At 39.3% G+C, this 20,249-nt stretch overlaps 1 protein-coding gene across 22 annotated transcripts in view; it reads right to left on the reverse strand.

Moving 5' to 3' along the window:
• DDX60L (DExD/H-box 60 like) overlaps window positions 1-20,249 on the reverse strand; it is a 123,758-nt gene that overhangs the window by 64,612 nt on the left and 38,897 nt on the right. For 20 of the 22 annotated variants that reach the window (XM_047416399.1, XM_005263341.5, XM_011532403.3 and 17 more), the window contains 8 exons: window positions 19,991-20,146; window positions 11,664-11,769; window positions 11,109-11,224; window positions 9,132-9,292; window positions 5,724-5,976; window positions 2,262-2,428; window positions 1,178-1,324; window positions 414-563 (listed from right to left, as the gene is read on the reverse strand). In XM_047416399.1, the coding sequence (XP_047272355.1) occupies window positions 414-563; window positions 1,178-1,324; window positions 2,262-2,428; window positions 5,724-5,976; window positions 9,132-9,292; window positions 11,109-11,224; window positions 11,664-11,769; window positions 19,991-20,146 (1,256 nt within the window). Of the gene's footprint in view, window positions 1-413; window positions 564-1,177; window positions 1,325-2,261; window positions 2,429-5,424; window positions 5,564-5,723; window positions 5,977-9,131; window positions 9,293-11,108; window positions 11,225-11,663; window positions 11,770-19,990; window positions 20,147-20,249 lie in introns of those variants that run through there. The other 2 variants (XM_011532409.4, XM_047416403.1) reach the window with 2 other exon arrangements.

The raw sequence follows: 20,249 nt of genomic DNA on the forward strand, positions 1-20,249 counted from the left end.
GATGAAATAAAAATATCAAAAATAGTTTCTTGGCCGGGCACGGTGGCTCACGCCTGTAATCCCAACACTTCAGGAGGCCAAGGTGGGTGGATCACCTGAGGTGATCAAGACCAGCCTAGCCAACATGGTGAAACCCTGTCTCTACTAAAAACACAAAAATTAGCCCAGCATGGCAGCACGTGCCTATAATCCCAGCTACTCATGAGGCTGAGGCGGGAGAATCACTTGAACACGGGAGGTGGAGGTTGCAGTGAGCCGAGATCGCGCCACTGCACTCCAGCCTGAGTGACAGAGCAAGACTCTGTCTCAAAAATAAAATAACAGTGAATTAGATCTAGCATGTGACCGTGTGCATTCTTTTTAAAGGGGATGTTCAGGAACAAAAGCAAAAATGAAAGTCATTCAAACACTACCTTTGCGGGTGCAACGTACACAACCACCCCGACATCGCTCTCCCTCAGCACTTTCTCCATGCAGTAGTAGGAAGCATAGGTTTTGCCTGAGGACGTTGGGGCAACAATCACTGCTGACTCATTCTTATCTACCACATCCAGGAGTTCCTGCTGCAGGGTACAAAGCACCATTTGTGTCAAGAAAGTGAACAGCATGTTACCAAAACACAGACAGTATCCTTTGTACCTTCTGTCTCCTGTGCCTGTATTATGCTACCTTTGGGGGAACTCCCTGAACCCCTGAAGATTAGGTCTGGTGAACACTCGAAGGATTCAGGAAAATACCTGGATTACTCATGCCATTCCCTCAGAAAAGAGATTTTGTTTTACATTTTGGCCTAGAGAGAGGGTTTCATTTCTGCAAAATAGAAAGGGAGACTGAGTAAAACATATTTTTCCATTAGAAAACACTTTTTCCAATTGTCATTGAGTAAGTACAGAAAGAGGTTTCCAAAACTGAGCTGTAAGAACTAGTAATGCCACATTAGCATGCCTTCACATACAAACAGGTATCAGTATAACTTCCACTGATGGTGAAAATAAAAAGGCCAAGAAGGGGAAGAAATGAATGATTTCTCATACTCTAGTTACATTCTCCAGGCACAGTAGAGGAAAGACATTAAACAAGATTAAGAAGTTTATGCAAAATTTGACATGTAGAGACACAGTAATGAAAAGTTCTGAAGTCACACTGATTAGAAAAGTACAATGTTTGTTGTCATTACCTGCCATGCGTTGGGAATAAAATCCTGGACCCTGGGATCCCGATCTTTTCTTTCATCTCTTATCAAGTAATGGCCCATGTATTGCAGTTGAAACCGAGCTGGTCCAATGTCAATCGAATATTTCTTCTTATTTTTGTCATCTCCTATCTGTTATTTTAATATATTATTTGAAATCAACTTAAACTTCAAAATTGAATAAACATTTATTAAATATCCACTGAGCACATTCTATGCACAAGGCATTTTTACTACACTTTTTTTTATTTTTTTGAGACAGGGTCTTTCTCTGTCACCCAGGCTGGAGTGCAGTGACGCCATCATAGCTCACTGCAGCCTTGAACTGCTGAGTGCAAGTGATCTTCCTACCTCAGCCCCACCACTCCCTATCCCATGCCCTGGCTGAGTAGCTGGGACTACAGGCACATGCTATCAATTGTGGCTAATATTGTGTGTGTGTGTGTGTGTGTGTGTGTGTGTTGTAGAGACAGGGTGTTGCCATGTTACCCAGGCTGGTCTTGAACTACTGGGCTCAAGTGATCTGCTCACCTTGACCTTCCAAAGTGCTGAGATTACAGGCGTGAGCTACCATGCCTGGCCTACTATGCTTTTAAATAGTGTAATATTTAAGTAAGAAGAGTTTTCCTGCCTAAAATGTTATTCTTGGGAAAAGTCAAATAGCAGATATTAACGTTAAAAAAAGTTCATCCTGGAATTGGAACCTGGAACCTTATTAAAGACCATTCTTCAATCTCACTACATTACAGTTTTTAGATTGCACTAGAATTAAGTATAGGATTCATTCCTGTTACCAAGAGGGTTTAAAGTGGCATCTGGATATCATCTAGTATTTAATTTCTGTTTTCAGGAAGCATCTGTACAAATTTTCTAATTTTAATTTACTTCAAAGTTTGGCAGCTAGGTTATTAATAAGTAATCTCATATCTATTATTTTATAAACTAGAATCAGAGTAAACATAGTCAATTGATAACTCTATATGTGAGATACTTCATTAGACCTATTAGTTATTCTTCCATATTAAAATTGAGTAAAAATTTAAAGTATAAGAAATTCTAGTTCTCTTACCAGAGTTGGATCCAAAGAGTTTGCCAGATCATTAAAGCCTAAATATTTAAGGCATTTAGCTATATATTGATGATGTTCTGCTTCCAAAATTTCTGGGTATCTCTCCAGGAGTGAATGAATCCTTTTCATCATTTGAACAGCTATACTTAAATCTTTCGAAATTTTGCCTTGTTAAAGAAACAATAAAATTGTTATAAAGAACACCAAAAATAACTGGTTGATCACTTACGACAATCATTGAGTTAATCAATTAACCTCATGTGATTAAACCTCACTATTTTACTTGACTTTAAAGGAGATTTTAGAGCATTAAAAACTAAAACTCATGATTAAATTAAATTAAAACTCCATCTACACACATTTAATTATCATCTTAAGTAACTTAGACATAGCTGGGTAAGTATAGGCAAAAAAGAAAAGAAACAAACTTTGTGATTTATAGCAGAAATATGAACCATTTAAACTGAGCTCTGTACTCATTTCCAGAGAAAAATAACACAATAACCCACATATTATTTGTGTGTCTTCTACTCTTGTTCACAGGAAAAAGTCCTATGATTTTAGATGCCTGACCAAAACATGAGCAACATTTATCAAGGCCTACTCTTGACCACATACAGTACTTGTATTTATGAAACCATCAGCAGAACCCTTCAATTATTGAGGGCTAAGATACAACCTCACTGCATCCCAATCATTCTATCCAGACTCTCCTAAGCCCTTCTATTACCTCCTGTTCACTTATAGCCTCTTTATCTCTATCCCACTACTAACCACTCCATATAAAGTCATATAAAGTCTTTATCCTCTTTCCTCTTTGTTAAGAAATATCCTCTTTCTTAACAAATACTACTGAGCAACTGCTTATGCAGACCACCAATGTATGCTTTAAGGAAGTACAAATGAAATTTAAGACAGAGTTCTTACATCAAGGAACCTTCAATCTAATTGGAGAACAAGGGATTAGTGTTGAAACAGATCAGTAAAATATCTAAGTGATTTACAATTCAGGGTCCAAATGGAGTCATAGAAGCAGTGTTATGTGAGCAGGAGAAGTTGGGAGGACTCCACAAGAGGATGGCCTTGAAGGACACACAGAATTTAGGCCAATAGAGACAAGCAGAAGAACATCTGTAGCAGAAACTGATATTACCTCCTCAACATCCATTCTCACCCAATGCTTTCTTATAAATCCCCATACTAATGGATACTGCAATAGGTCCAATTCAAAGTTCACATTTTCTAATCTCTCTGTGGTTTGGTGCGGTTTTGTTACTAAGTTTGGCCATTGAGAAGTAAGCAAAAATTGGTGGAATTTCTGGGATGAAGCCTCCTTCCATAGAAGAAATACAGCATGAATGTACAAATTTGCCCTTTTTCTTCTTCCTACTTTGTTTTGGAATACAGTTATCATGGCTGTAGCATCAGCCACCAACTGCATTCATGACATAACTTTAAGAATACAACTCATGCACTAAGAACGGTACAATACGATGATAGCGGAGCCTAAGTTCCCAGTGACACTGAACTGCCTATCTCTGGACTTCTTTTACATGAAAGAGAAATAAACTATCTTTTTTAAGCCATTATTAATTCCTATCTCTGTTAATAGCTAATGGCAATTCCTATCTGATATGGCATCAAGTAAAAACACATATGCTAAAGCTTAGAGATGAAAATGAGCATAGTCTCTGACAGCCCACTGAGGTACTGGCTTTGCTGGGAAGTAGAATAGAGAGACATGAGCGTGACTACAGAGTCACGTGGCCACACGTGAAAAGGATCTGAGTAGGACATACTCAAGACAGGGTGATCAACCACAACTTGAGGAGGAATTGTCAGCTTGGTCTAGCATCAAAATCACATATCTCAGGCTGGGCACAGTGGCTCAAGCCTGTAATCCTAGCTCTTTGGGACGCCCTGGCGGATAGATCACCTGAGGTCAGGAGTTCAAGACCAGCCTGGCCAACATGGCAAAACCCCGTCTCTACTAAAAATACAAAAATTAGCCAGGCATGGTGGCAGGAGCCTGTAATCCCAGCTACTCAGGAGGCTAAGGCAGGAGAATCACCTGAAGCTTGAATCTGGGAGGTGGAGGTTGCAGTGAGCTAAGATCACTCTACTGCACTCCAGCCTGGGTGACAGTGAGACTCCATCCCAAAAAAAAGAAAAAAAAATCACATATCTCTACTCAGTTTTTTCTGATTCTTTCCCTCAGTTGGCTCTTCCACAAGTCAATATTCAGGAAACTAAGTAATAAAAGCACACACTACAAGCCATATGAAGACGTAATACCTGGAAATAGTATGCACACATCATTTCTGCTACATATTTCACCAAAATCATTCTCTGCTGCCAGTTGGAGACATTGATACAGGAGAGCACAGGGAGCCACAGAAATTTGAGGGAGCACTTAGAATGCTAGGCAGGCAGGGCCCATTCCAACCCACTTCCCTCCCTGCCAGCCCACAGTGTGGAAATGGTTGTGTACCGTTACCTAGGACTGCAGGTGCTATTGGGCATCTATTCCCCCATAGCTATGGCTCTCAAGGAATTCTGGTAACCGTTCACTCCCCTGCTCTTGTCAAGAACTAGGAAAGGGCTGAGATTTTATTCTATTTACAAGCTAGAAATTTAGTCTTTCACAGTCTCATGGTTGCTGGCAAAAGACATGAGACTCCTGGGTCAGAAACAAAAGGCTTTATTATCATGGCCCAGTTAACAATATAACCATCATGTATATGTCGGTTCCCCTTGTGCTCCATGGCGGAGATAAAGAGCCCAGGTAGAAACCACACACAAAGTAGGTTGATGTCACAGCTAAGGAAATCTACACTTAGAAAACCGAAATATTTTATAATGGGTCTCAGGCAAAACCTGCTTCTTTGCCCTGGAGGGAAATGTGATCTTTATTAACTGGACAGTAAACAAACTTGGCCTTTGCCCTAGAGAGGAACACAATTTCTTCCTTCCAAGCCTGTTCACTATACAAACACACTTAAAAAGATAGTCTGGAAGTGAACCTGTCAATGCTTCTGCTGGCTAGACGGGCAGAAACATGGAAAAACCCATGGAGAATCACCTCCCAACAGCAACTTCACATCTCCCTGGTGCTGACAGCTTTCCTTCTCTGATAGGCCCTGTTGCTGCTGCTGAGCCTCACCTTGCTTTGCTGATCCCCTTAATTCTCTCCACACTTTTTGAAAGAGTTTTTTCTTTATACTCTCCTCATTTCTTTTTGAATGTGCCATCTTTTCCCTGTTGGGACCCTCTGTCTAACCTCTGCAATTCCACTTTCTTGTCTGCAAAATATAATAATAACTATCTTAAAGGGTCATGTTGACAATAAAATCAGACAATGGATTATACAAAGTTTTAGCACAACCATGCATTCAGTAAATATGTTAACATCATTAATATTTTCATCACTACTCTTTATCCATAGAGTATGGAGTCCCATACCTTCACCTCGGCAATGTTTTTTCCATGCTTTAAAGCAGGCAATTAATCCTAACATTTCAACTCCAAATTTCACTGAATTACTTGCACATGATGTCAAATAATCTTCCAATTTCCTTATTCCAGAATGTAAATTGTTCTTCATCTCCTCTTCAATAGAAAACAGCAGATCATCGTTTTGCTGAGCTTTGTTCTGATCTTCTTTGAGAAATGACTTTTTCTTACTCTTTTTGGTAATTTGGTGGGGTTTGGTATTCTGCTCAATAATAAAAGGAACATATGAAACAAGTGGGAAAATTCCATTATGACATTTCACTAGTGAGATTATTTTTTGTGCACTTACTGAGGACTCTGGCCATCATTCTACTCGTGCACAGGCAAGAATTCTTAATGTCTTTTCTTAAAATTAAAGTCTGTATGATGCAAACCTACTTAAACTTCAGTATAAATGTAAATTGCCTCTTACTGCAGAATATTTTCTAGATTTCTAAATGGTGTAAATTATTAATAAAAAAGTAAAAGTAAATGGAAGAAAACAAAGAAGAGAAAGAGTAGCCACTGAGCTTGATTGTAGGGCAGCTTCTTGGGGATTTGGAACTTAATTAATTTATTCATTCTCCACCCCACAAAGCATTTTGGGCCTCCCAGATCCCACTCGCTCTTTGGAGATTCATGTTGAAAAACACCAACGGTCTAAGCAGACATTAGTCAATGTGGGGAAAAAAACAGAAATCCCACTGGAAAATGGAGGAGTCACACACACTTAGTGGGGTGGTAATTTTTCCCACCTCTCCCCTAACTAGATCAAACATTTAATTCCCATTTTGCTTCTATTTCAGTGTGGAGGCTGCTCCTAGGCCTCACACTACCAACATAACAGAACTGAGTGAGCTCCCATCAGTTCCTGGCCCTGCAATTAGGGCTGCCAAAGGAGCAGAGGTGCACAGCCTGGGCCCCAGGAGCCAGCCTTGGGCACAGGGCTTGGCAAAGCAAAGGGCTCAGCTGGGTGAGGCCCTTGCACAAAGGCTGCAGAAGATGGTTGCTTCAGGATGCTGTATTCACTTTGATCCTTATGCTTGAAGCCAAGCCTGGACCTTTGCCTGAGCCAGCCCCACCTGGCCACCCTCAGCCCAGAGGAGGTTAGGTCTGTGGGCTGAGGTGGAGCCTCTGCAGTTGAAAGCATGTGTTGTGTGGCTGGATGGACCCTTAAATAGCTCTAGGAGAGAGACCCAACAGCAGTGCTAAGAAACCTACAGTGTAATCAGTGATAACTATTATCTAGAATGGCTTTGAGGAGATATCCTGTCACTGATTGTAGCCTTTGCAACTTCAGCCTGGTTAATGAATTGACGGTCTGGCAAGGAAAAGGAAGACTCTAGATCTCTGATTAACAATTTTCTGAAATTAGTGGGAAAGAGAAATGTTTTCATTTTTTGGATCTTTTCCTTGTGGGGCTTTTATGTTTCATTCTCCAAAAATATTCCCTTTCCTACTCCAGTTAGGGTAAGGCAGCCATGATAAGTGCCATTGGTCATCAATAGTTTGGTTTGTGCTCTTTCACGTATTTAGCATGGTTGACCTCAGGAAGGGGATTTACCAAAGCAAATAAATGTCTTTCCTTAATTCCCAACCATGAGGCTAAGAGAGAAGTACTGAAGCCTAATGAAATCCCCTCTGATGAAGAATGATCGCAAAGTAGTACCTTCCCAAGCAGAACCATAAAATCTACCGTTTGTTCAGTTATAAACACTATCATTTGTGTTACCTGATACTTTTCCACATTATCTTTTTAAATTTTTTTTGAATTACAGGGATTCTAAGTTTGTAAACAAGCATGGTCTAGTGTAAAGGCAGGAAGAGAAAGAAAATAGGTATGGAAGATTCCTACCCTTTCAAGAAGACCTGGTCTTACCTTTAATATAAACAAAAGTCCAGGACAGATTAATGGCATAAATGACTTAAAAACATGGACAGTTTTCCAAATTCAGGCAAAATAATGAAGCTGATGGAAATGTTAGGCCTATTTTTACCACCTCTATGTAAAAAGATTTTCACTGTAACAAACTAATATACAAAAATTCCTTTTCTTTTTTTTTTAGACAGAGTCTTGCTCTATCACCAAGGCTGGAGTGCAGTGACACGATCTTGGCTCACTGCAACCTCCACCTGCTGGGTTCAAGCAATTGTCCTACCTCAGCCTCCTGAGTAGCTGGGATTACAGGCACCCGCCACCATTCCTAGCTATTTTTTTATATTTTTAGAGGCGATAGGGTTTCACCACGTTGGCCAGCCAGGCTGGTGTCGAACTCCTGACCTCAGGTGATCCGCCCACCTTGGCCTCCCAAAGTGCTGGGATTACAGGTGTGAGCCACTGCACCCAGCCCACAAACATTTCTTTTAACTTAAATTTGACTTTTCTAAATCCAAGCTTGTAATTCTTTGATGCATTAAGCTTGTTATCAGATAAATCTATCTTTTCTTATTCTAAAAAAGATAGAATACTAGATTTTATGTAATCTTCTTAGGATTTCTAATGGCAAGCAAGTAAAATAACTCATTTGTAAGTGATATGATTTGGGTCTGTGGCCCCACCAAATCTTATGTCGAATTGTAATCTCCAGCATTGGAAGCTGGGCCTGATGGGAGGTGACTGCATCATGGGGAGGGGGTTTCCGATAAATGGTTAACACCATCCCACTTGGTGCTGTTCTCATGATAGTGAATGAGTGACTTGTGCAAGATCTGGTTGTTTAAAAGTATGTAGCACCTCCCCAACACTTCCTCCTACTCCAGTCATGTGAAGTGCCATCTCCCCCTTTGTCTTCTATCATGATTATAAGTTCCCTGAAGGCTGGGTGTGGTGGCTCACACCTGTAATCCCAGCACTTTGGGAGGCCAAGGTGGGTGGATCACCTGAGGTCGGGAGTTCGAGACCAGCCTGGCCAACAGGAAGAAACCCTGTGTCTACTAAAAATACCAAGAATTAGCCGGGCCTGGTGGTGGGTGCTTGTAATCCCAGCTACTTGGGAGGCTGAGGAAGAAGAATTGCTTCAACCCGGGAGGCGGAGGTTGCAGTGAGCCAAGATCGTGTCACTGCACTTCAGCCTGGGCAACAAGAGCGAAACTCCATCTCAGAAAAGAAAAAGAAAAAGAAAAAGAAGTTCCCTGAGGCCCAGAAGCTGATGCCACCACAGTTTCTGTACAGCCTGCAGAACTGTGAGCCAATTAAACCTTTTTTCTTTATAAATTACCCAATCGCAGGTATATCTTTCTAGCAATGTGAGAATGGACTAAGACAGTTAGCAAACATGAGAAAGAAGAGAATGGAAGACACCTCCAGAGACAAATATGAGCCTAAAGAAAACAAAACAACATCAAAGAAAAAAATTAGGTAAAATCTTTGCGATCTACCTGTAATATTTCACCACTGGCACCACTGGAATCCTCCTTTGGCCGAGTAGTTTGAGTCACAATGACTTTCGTAGAGATTGATTCTAACGATTTCCCATAAAATTGCTGATAATCCTGAATCTTTTTCAGGAAATCAAGAACATGAGGATCTCTAGATTGTTCTGAAATAGAAAGACTTAAAATGTAAACATGTATTTTAAAATATTGCTATATATGTGTGCTACCCACACATTATTTTTTTAACTCCAGAATAATAATTCAGTATTTGCCAATGAGGTCAGATTACCATACGCTAACAAAATAATTCCCTATATTATTTGAAGAAGAGAGAGGACGAAGCTCTGCTAATGTCCGGGTCTAAGTACCTGGACATTGCCCCTGTCATTTGGCAGGAGAAGAGGAGAAGAGGAAGGTTGGGGGCAGTCTAATAGCACATTCACCTGCAACAGGGGTCTACAAACTAGGTCCACATGATCAAATCTGATGAGTACATTTTTTAAAATTGGTTACACTCTAAATGATTATATGAGTACCTACATCATGCTGTCAATTTTGGTCTCTTGGTTTGCAAAGCCTAAAATATTTATTACTTAGACCTTTCAGAAAAAGTTTGTTGACTCCGGACCTAAAACATTCTGTTTGCACTCCTAAAAAGGAAAACCTCTACTTCTGGTCCCAGTCAAATATTTAGGAGCTTACAGCTGACAGATGCTGATACCAATTACCTTACACCATGCAAAAATTCAAATGACACAGAAAATTCCCAGGAAGCAAGGCTAGATTCACTTGAGACCTAGGAACACTCTTTACAAACATAAAAGATATAAATAAGCTAGTGTTTTGTTGTTTTGGATGTTGTTGCTTTTTCCGTGTCTGTGTATGTGATCACAAATCAAACCACTCTGGAAACACACCATGCAGAATCTTCGTAGACACTTACATAAATAGCTTATTCCTATATGCAATTGGCATACTTACTTGACTTATTTCTAGATCCTTCTGAAAAGTTTTACCAGTTCTGCAATGAGAACACATGGACACAGGAAGGGGAACATCACACTCTGGGGACTGTTGTGCGGTGGGGGGTGGGGGGAGGGATAGCATTAAGAGATATACCTAATGCTAAATGACGAGTTAATGGGTGCAGCACACCAGCATGGCACATGTATACATATGTAACTAACCTGCACATTGTGCACATGTACCCTAAAACTTAAAGTATAATAATAATAAAATAAAATAAAAAGAAAAGTTTTACTAGTTCTGAAAAGGGTGGAAATAAACATCGGATTGGAGAAAGACACTAAAAGAATGAACCAGGAAAAAAAGATCTATGAATTCCTTTCCTTAGGACCCATTTTTAATTGTTTCATGGGCTTTACTTTTTGTAGATTCAACTCCTCCTCATTACTGAGTTTTCATGGGCACAATTATGCTGGTACTTGGCAGCATGCAATCAACTAGACAATAGTTTAGCAGGAAAAGAGCTAAAATGTTAGGAAGACTATGGCTGTATCAGCATATTTACTTCAAGGTATAGACAGATTCCTAAAACCATCAAGTATCTTTCCCACTTAAACAGCATCTGATATTTTCATGACAATACCATGCATATGTACATCCTTAAAAGATTAATAAATCTCTATTTGAATTAACAGATACATCTGCATGCATACGTACATATGCACACCAGATAATATAATGGGATTTTTTTCAGACAGCATGCTTCCTACTGTGCCTCTTCAATTAATATATATATATATATTGTGTGTGTGTGTGTATATATATATACACACATATATGTATAGTATATATTGTATATAGAGATCTCATTCAAAATATATATTATATATAATATATAGATAGATCTCATTCAAAATAGAACGTGTTTACAATGTAATATCTTTTCACTGTTAATAAAAAGAGCAGCAAAGGCAATTCATATAAGCTCTATTTTATCGTGGTTACAGAGCTCACCATCAACATGACATTTGATCCTGTCATAGTCGTCACTAAGGAGTCTTTGAGCATGCCAGTGCAAAAGTTCATCAGATGTCTTTTGTTTAAACAGTGAAGGAACAACCGGATCATCACTGTAAAAATAAATACATAATTTTTTTAAATTTTAAGCTTTTCAAATTTTAGCACAAACTTCAGGCTGTGATAACAGAAATTGTACAACCTCTTTTTCTATTTGTGTGATATAATGTGGGTCATAAAACCTCAGAGACATAAAAACCCTGAATTTCTGCCATTCCTGTAACAGTCACATCCACATCAACAACAATGTAGTAAACTTTATAGCTGGAGTAATTTTATTATACGTTCAAAATAATATAGATTTTTATATAGTAATGTTCAAATAATATTGACATACTAGATGTTACAATCACTTAAATGTATTATAGTCACATTATATAGAATTTACCATATCCTGATATGATATATTACATAGACATTTTGATGAGTCATTCACTTCACTAGTATTTTCAAGTTGATGGCACTAAATCAGGTACTTCATTAACTCTGTACCTCTTTAGAATAGGCAAATCCTTCATCATATCTCCAACAAACTCATCAATTACAGCAGATGTCATTGGAATAAAGCCCACACTAGGCATCTTTTCCAAGGAGATTTCTGAAAACAAATATAAATTTAAGATGAGAGGAAAGGTGTAACTATCCTATATGAATTTTGAACATTATTTTTAAAATTTCAAATGCATAATATTTTACATAAATTTTACTAATGTTTACCAAGTTAGAGCTTCCAAATGAGATATTCCTCAAAGCAAACATGTTGTAGCAAGCCAGTATATTAAAAATTAGTATATAACCATTTACATATGTATGTAGATGGTAGCAGATCACTAGATAGACAAACATGTAGATTTTCCATTTCCAAGTACTTATTCTTTTTTATTATGTCACAGTATGAATAATGTGTCACAGTATAGTAATAACAGCACTTGAAAAAAGAAGCACCACTCAGAGTTCACCTACATAAAAGCCTCCATGAAAATTAAATCACAAAAATAGGAAAAAATTAATAATAAAAGTATTTTATTTATCACCAAATACTCTTTGGAGCCTTCTTTAATTTCTATTTTCACAGTTCCTATGTATGGTTTACATGCTGAATATAATAGACTAGAGGATTTTTAAATTTAGCTGTGTTCAAAACTGTAGATGAAAAAATATAATCCTTCTCCTCCCTCATTCCTAAATTCTGGACAATATCCTTTTGCCAATGTATCCACAATTCCCATCTGCATTCCTCTTGCATCTCTCACTTTCCTTTGGGACTATTTCCTTCTTCCTGAATTGTATCATATACAAATATTTTTAATGAGGATATGATGCCAGTAAACTCAGTTCTTGTGCATCTGAAAATATCTATATTATCTCCTCATTCATAAGTTGTACTTATACTAGTTACACTAGCCCCCAACAACCATTATTTTGTCTCATTACTTAAAAGATATTATTTCATTACCATCTTGCTTTTATTGTTATTGTGGAGAAGTCTGCTAGCAATTTAACTTTTATGTCTTTGTAGGTAACTGTTTTCTTTCTTATTCTTAAGAGAACTTTGTTTTTGGTTTGCTGCGGTTGCACTATAATGTATCTAGTGGTGTGTGTTTGTGTGTGTGTTGTGTGTGCATAGATGCGTGAGTGTGTACATGTGTATATCGTATATGAGACTCATTTCTGCATCCTAACTCCAGGTATTTGTGTCTTTCATTAAATCAGAAAAAAATTATTTTCAGTCATTATCTATGGATATTTCTTCCTCTGATGTCTCTATCCTCTGCTTCTGAAACTCCAATTGGACATGTGATTGACCTAAGGTATCCAAAGGCTTAGAGAGATTGGAAGGTTAGAGTGACTTATCATGTAAGACCTGCTCACTCACCCCATGAGGGTGCAGAGGACACACCTTCCACCACAACTATGAGAAATAAAATTGTAAGGGGAACCCCAGAATTCTGGAATAGCTCCATAGTTACGCTATTGTGTAAGTCAGAAATTGCTGTGGGAACTGCTACCAGCAAATTTGGATCCCTAAATGCCACAGGGATAATTCAATCCTGGGGTGGCAGGGGCCAAGTGGCAGCACTTAATCACTAAAGATAAAGTAGTTATGGTTACCATAATGGACGGCAAAGTCAAAGCAATAATCTGAATAGTCTGATTCACAGAAACCTACAGCATTGGCTAGCTGGTCATAGTGTTCCTAGAAAAAAACAAAAGATGGGCATTCCACTAAATTCTAAATTGATCTGTACAAAAGGAAGAGTTCTAAGGTAAGTGAACAGATGCCTAACTTAAATCACCAGTCATAGCTCCTTAATCAGTTCCTAAACTTAAGCCCTGTTACAGACCCAGAACCCCTTGATTGGAGAAAAGGCTAAATCCCTTTGAAGAAGGACCCTGCTCCACTGCCAAAACTCATACTGTTCATCTTTCTTCAGTCTTCCTCAAAGGGACCTACTGCTATTTATCAGGGTAACTGTCCACTGGAGAAGGGGAAATCATCTGACTTCAGGGGATTACTGGATACTGATTCTGAACTGGCACTAATTCCAGAAGACCCAAAATGTCACTGTGCTCCCAACCCCCAACCCCCAGTCAGTAAGGGCTTGTGGAACGTCAGGTGACTGATGAAGTTTTCTCTCAAGTTCATCTCACAGTGGGTCCCTGAATCTTCTGTGTGGTTATTTCACCAGTTTCAGAATGCGTAACTGGGACAGACATACTCAGCAACTCAACACATCTCCAGGTTGGTTCCCTGACCTGTGGAACGAGGGCTTATGGAAGCCACTAGAACTGTCTATACTTAGAAAAATTGTAAGCCAAAAGTAATACTGCATTCCTGGAGGGATTACAGAGATTAATGCCACTATTAAGGACTTGAAAAATACAGGAGTGCTGATTTTCCTCACATCCACATTCAACCTGACTATTGGGCCTATGCAGAAAGACAGATGAATTCTGGAAATTGCCAGTAGATTCCTGTAAATTTAACCCTATGATGACTCCAACTGCAGCTGCTGTTCCAGAGGTGGTTTCATTGTTTGAGCAAAATAATATACCTCCTGGTACCTGGTACGCAGCTATCGAGCTGGCAAATGCTTTTTTTCTCCATTCCTGTTAATAAAGACCACCAGGAGCTATTTACTTTCAGCTGGAAAGGCCAGAAAAATATACCTTCACTGTCCTACCCTAGCCCCATGTCATAATTTAGCCCCCAGGGAATTTTCCGGAAGAAATTTTTTTCTTCCACAAAGTATCTCACTGGTCCATCACATTGTTCATATTACGCTGCTCGGATCTAGTGAATAAGAAGTAGACACTACTTGACATACCAATAGGACATTTGTATGTCAAAGATGGGAAATCAATTCAGCAAAAATTCAGAGAATTTCCATCTCAGCAAAATTTGTTGATGGTGGAAAATGAACGGAACAAAAATTCAAGGATGTTCCACCTCTGCAAAACTTGTAGGAGTCCAATTGTGTGGGGCATATCAAGATATCCTTTCTTAGGAGAAGGGTAGTTGTTGCATCTGGCCCCTCCTACAATAAAAAATAAAGTATAATGCCTGGGGGAGCCTTTGTGAATTTGGAAAGCTACATTTCTCACTTAGGTGTGCTATTCTGGCTTATTGATCAAGTGACCTGAAAAGTTGCTAGTTTTTATTGGAGCCGAGAATAAGAGAAGGCCCTGCAACATGTCCAGGCTGACACGATTGCAGGCTTCCCTCATGAAAGGAGTCATTCCCTCTTCTTACTGGAATAGACAGTTACTCTGGATATAGTTACCTTCCCTGCATGCAATGCTTCTGCCAGAAATACTATCCTTGGACTTACAGAACCCGTATCCACAATCTTGGTATTTCACACAATATGGTTTCTGATCACAAGGAACTCACTTTATAGCAAATGAGGTGTGGCGGTGGGTCTACGTTCATGGAAAGCACTGGTCTTACCATATTCTCCATCATCCTGAAGCAGTTGCCTCAGTAGAATAGTCTAACAGCATTTTAGAGACACAGTTACAGTGTGAGCTAGGTGGAAATACTTTGAAGGCTGGGGCAACGTTCTCCAGAAGGCTGTAATTACTCTGAATTAGTGGCCAATATATAGTGTTGTTTGTGAATTATAGGCATAATTCACAATTCAGGATTCCAGGGATAGAAAACGAATGACTCCACAAACTATTACCCCTAAGTGATATGCTAGCAAAATTTCTGCTTTCTGTTCTGGCACCCCTATGTTCTGTTTGTTTAGATATCTTAGTTCCAAAGAGAGGAATGTTTCCACCAGGAGACACAACAATGATTCCATTGAACTAGAAGTTAGGACTGCCATCTTGCCATTTTGAGCTCCTTGTACCTCTGAATCAACAGGCAAAGGAAAGGGTTATTGTGCTGGCTGCTGTGATTTATCCTGATTCTCCAGGGGACATTGGGCTGCTACTACTCAATGGAGGGGTAAGAAAAAGTATGTCCAGAATACAGGAGATCCCTTAAGGGTTCCGTAGTACATCCCTTCATACTACCATGCCATGTGATTAACGTCAATGGAAAACTACAACAACCCAATGCAAACAGTACTCTATGGGTCCAGACCCTTAAGGAACAAAGGATTGGACTGGACTGTGTTCTTCAAAGAGACATGTTCGAGTCCTAATTCGCACTATCTGTGAATGTGACCTTATTTTGAAATAGGGTCTTTGCAGATGAAATCAAGTTAAGATAAGGTTATTCTGGATTAGGGTGAGGCCTAATGTAATAACTGCTATTCTTACAAGAACAGAGAAACTTGAACACAGACCCAGAGGAAACACACAGAGAGAAGGAGAACACTATGTAAAGGTAGAGGCAGAGATGAAAGTGATGCATCTACAAGCCAAGGAACACCAAGGATTGCCAGCAGCCTCCAGAAGCTGAGAGAGAGGCATGGGATTGTAAATTCAAAATAAAATCCAAAGTCCAACCCCCGCAACTAACTGAATGGACCCCCTAATGGCCAAGGTTACCCCAGAGAAACATTTAAGACTGAGTTCTGAGCCACGATGCAAAGGAAAGTCAGATAGGCCTCACTATACTCTCCTCCCTCTTGCAGTTTAGACACAAAAACTGACTAGCGTTAATGTTAAAATAGAGATTGCAAGACTGACAGAACAGAATCTTTGTGGCAATAAGATCATGAACAAGATCTAAGGCCATGCCAGTCAAAGGTGATGTCATGCACCCTATAGGTCACTATGACTCAGTATACCGTGGCTTGCTCTGATAACCTGACTCTGGCAGAACATCACATGATGATTAGCAGACTCCTGGTCTTCACTTAAACCCTTCGGCTGACTCCATGGGGTTTTTTTTTGGGTTTTTTTGGTTTTGTTTTTTGAAACGGAGTCTCACTTTGTCACCCATGCTGGAGTGCAGGGGCGCAATCTCAGCTCACTGCAACCTCCAACTCCTGGGTTCAAGCGATTCTCCTGCCTCAGCCTCCCGAGTAGCTGGGATTACAGGCACATGCCACCATGCCCAGATAATTTTTTGTATTTTTAGTAAAGATGGGGTTTTACTGTGTTAGCCAGGATGGTCTCGATCTCCTGACCTGGTGATCCCCCTGCCTCGGCCTCCCAAAGTGCTGGGATTACAGGCCTGAGACACCACAACTGGCCCCAAGTTTTTAGACAAAGCTTTGTTCCTTTAACCAATTGCAAATGAAATCATCTCCAAATCTACCTATAATCTGTAAGCCCCTGCTTCAAGATATCCTGCCTTTTGGGGCCAGTGTATACCTCCTATGTATTGATTTATATCTTTACCTGTAACTCCTGCCTCCCTGAAATATATAAAACCAAACTGTAACCCAACCACCTCAGGGCCACTTACTCAAGACTTCTTGGGATTGTGTTTTCCCCAGGCCACAGTCAACCATATTAGCTAAGAATAAACCTCTTTAAAATATTTTGTGTTTTCCCCAGGCCACAGTCACCCATATTAGCTAAGAATAAACCTCTTTAAAATATTTTACAAAGTTTAGTTTTTCCATTAACAGTTTGGTTTTTAATTCAGGCCCTCCAGAAGAAACCAATTTTGTAGACAATTTGATTTCAGACATTAACCTCCAGACCTGTAAGAGAATAAACTTCTGTTGCTATAAGCCACCAGCTTGTGGTGCTTTGTGACAGCAACCCTGGAAAAGGAGGACCTCAGGCAAAGAACCATGACCAGCTTAGGTGCTTGCTGGGTGCAAAGGGTTTAGGGAATAGGTAATGGGAGGAGAAGGCAGTCATAAATACCAGCTATGACCATGTGACCAGTTACAGAAATGAGGACTCTAATAGTTAGGGGTATTTCTTCCTTATTTTGTCTTGAAAATACGTATATATTAAGCAGATATTTTTGTTTTCTTCTTTTATCAGTTTACATACAATGTAGTCATAATAGTGTGCTTTGTATCACAGTATTTAGGTTACAGGATATCAAAGCAGACGAGTGAAAATTGCCCAAGAACTTAGCATTGTCTTTTGAAGGAAGAGTTAACATGCCGTTGGTTGTATGCAGTATAGTTGTATCATGTTAAGCACAAGTGTGATTTCGTTAGTGCCTTTATTGGGAGATTAAGTATGGTTTAAGGATATGTATATGGGTGCTCAGATGACAAGAGGTAGACTGAAATGGTCAGTTTTAGATGTCAACTTCATCAGACTATAGTTCCCTAGTTATCCAATCAAACATGAATCTGGATGTTGTTGTAAAGGTATTTGTAGATGGGCTTAAAGACTATAATCAATTTTACTTTAAGTAAAGAAGACTATCCTAGATAATATAGAAGAGCCTGATCCAATCATCTCAAAGTCCCTGAGTGCAGAATTGAGGTTTCCCTGAGGTAGAACAAATTCCACCTGTAGGCTGCAACTTCAGCTCATGCCCCAAAGCTCCACCCTCCCCTTCCTTAAGACCTGCCCTATAAATTTTGGACTTGCCGAGCCAGTCCCTATAATCAGGTAAGGTAATTCCCTGCAATAAATCTCTTAACATGTGTATCCTACTAGTTCTGTGTATCTGGTAGAAACCTAACTGATACACTTCCCAAATGGGCCTTTGACTCAAAACAACAAAAATCAACCTGTCAGCAGACTATTATTAAAAATCAACAAGCCAATTATAAAATTTAAATGAAAATGCAAAGGATTCAGAATAAACTAAACAATCTTCAAAAGAACAAAGTTGGAGCACATATACTACCAAAACCAAAGTTTCTTACAGAACTACCATAATCAACTTTAATATTGGTTCAAGGATAAACAAGGCTCAAGGATAAACTTATGAAAGAGAACAGAGGGTGAAGAAATAACCCCTCTCTCACACCATACAAAAGTAAATTCAAGATCAATCATAGACTTGTGAAATACTTACGACCTATACTTTATAAACAGGCAAAACTCAGCAGGCACTTCACAAGAGGATATTCAAATGGCCAATAACAGATGAAAAGTCCAAGAAAATGCAAATTCAAACCACAATGAGCTACCCCCACGCACCCATCAGAATGGCCAAAATAAAAAAGACTAACAATAGGCTGGGCATGATGGTGTACACCTGTAATCCCAGCAGTTTGGGAGGCCCAGGTGGAAGGTTTGCTTGAGGCCAGGAATTCAAGATTACAGTGAGCTATGATGGTGTCTCTGCACTCCAGCCTGGGCAATAGAGTGAGACTCTGTCTCACACACACACAAAAAAAGATTGACAAGGCTGGGAAGCAATTCTAAAATTCCAAAATGCCCACATGGAAGGTGGGAGTTTAACTTGGAACTATCACCTTAGAAAATATGTGGACAGTAGTTCATAAAGCTGCATTTCTATGTATATACTTGAAGTGAATAAATGCATATATCTACCTAAAGTTATATGTAAGAATATTCATAACAGTTTTACCCTTCAATCACTTCTCATTACTTTTACAATTTCCTAAGTCCTTAACAGAGCCAGCAAGTACCCCCTCCTCAGTTTCATCAGCTTTTCTCCTCTCTGGTCACACTAAACATATCTCAGCTCCTTGGGGAATTCTCAAATGCCATGTCCTCTCTGGAAAACCTTTTGCTCTTCCCTTCCCCCAGCTAACTATTACTCATCCTTCAGACCACGACTCATTGCACTTCTCTTCACTTCCTCAGAGAGGTCAACCTTTCCAGACTGGGTTGGTCTGTTAATCATTAGTTTCCACAGCACTCATTAGTTCCTCCTTCATATCCATCAGCACCTTTGTAATCATTTTACCGCTTCTTCAACAATTCAATAGCCAATAGGAAATGCTCCAAATGGACAGAGTGTAATATATTCATACAAAGAGACAGTTCACAGCAATAACTTTTAAGCATAATGGTAAATACAACAGGCAGGAATGTCTCAGACATTATACCGAGAGGAAAAAAGATAGAAAGAATATACACTATATGACTCCATCCCAATGAAGTTCAAAGCAGACAAAACTAAGAAATCATATTGAAGTCTGTTAAAGAGATGAGAGGAGGGGGAGGATGGATTGGGAAGTGGCCCGAGGAACTTTCTCTTGAGGTGCTGGAAATGGCCTCTCTCTTGATCCAGGTGGTTATCACACAGATGTATATATCTGTGTAAAATTTCACCAGGCTTTACTCTGCACACTGGTTTACTTTAACCACATTATTATATGTATTTTAAACCTCAATTAAGAGGTAAACAAGAAAGCACAGTGAAGGAAAATTATTTACACTTGGAAGAATTGAATTATTAGGGCTTCTAAAAGTTGTTCAGGACAAACATGCTTTTGTTCCACTTTAATTTACCCATTTAGTACCTTGAATGACCGATTTCTCTTGTCTAAGAAAATGTCTTCTTGTTGTTCTCAGAGGAAAAGACTTTCCAACGTTAAATTCTTTAACCAGGTGTGACACAACATTCCACAGGTCTTCATAATCCCTCCTAATGGAATCTCCCAAATTCAAATGTGGTTCTGCATAACAATAAAAAATATTAAAATCTCAAAAGTCATACACATGCAGACACACACAGAGCATCTTTTTTGAATAAATTCATAGAGCTCTGGAAAGATGATC

The sequence above is a fragment of the Homo sapiens genome, chromosome 4 (genome assembly GCF_000001405.40).
Source record: "Homo sapiens chromosome 4, GRCh38.p14 Primary Assembly".
Taxonomy (NCBI): domain Eukaryota; kingdom Metazoa; phylum Chordata; class Mammalia; order Primates; family Hominidae; genus Homo; species Homo sapiens.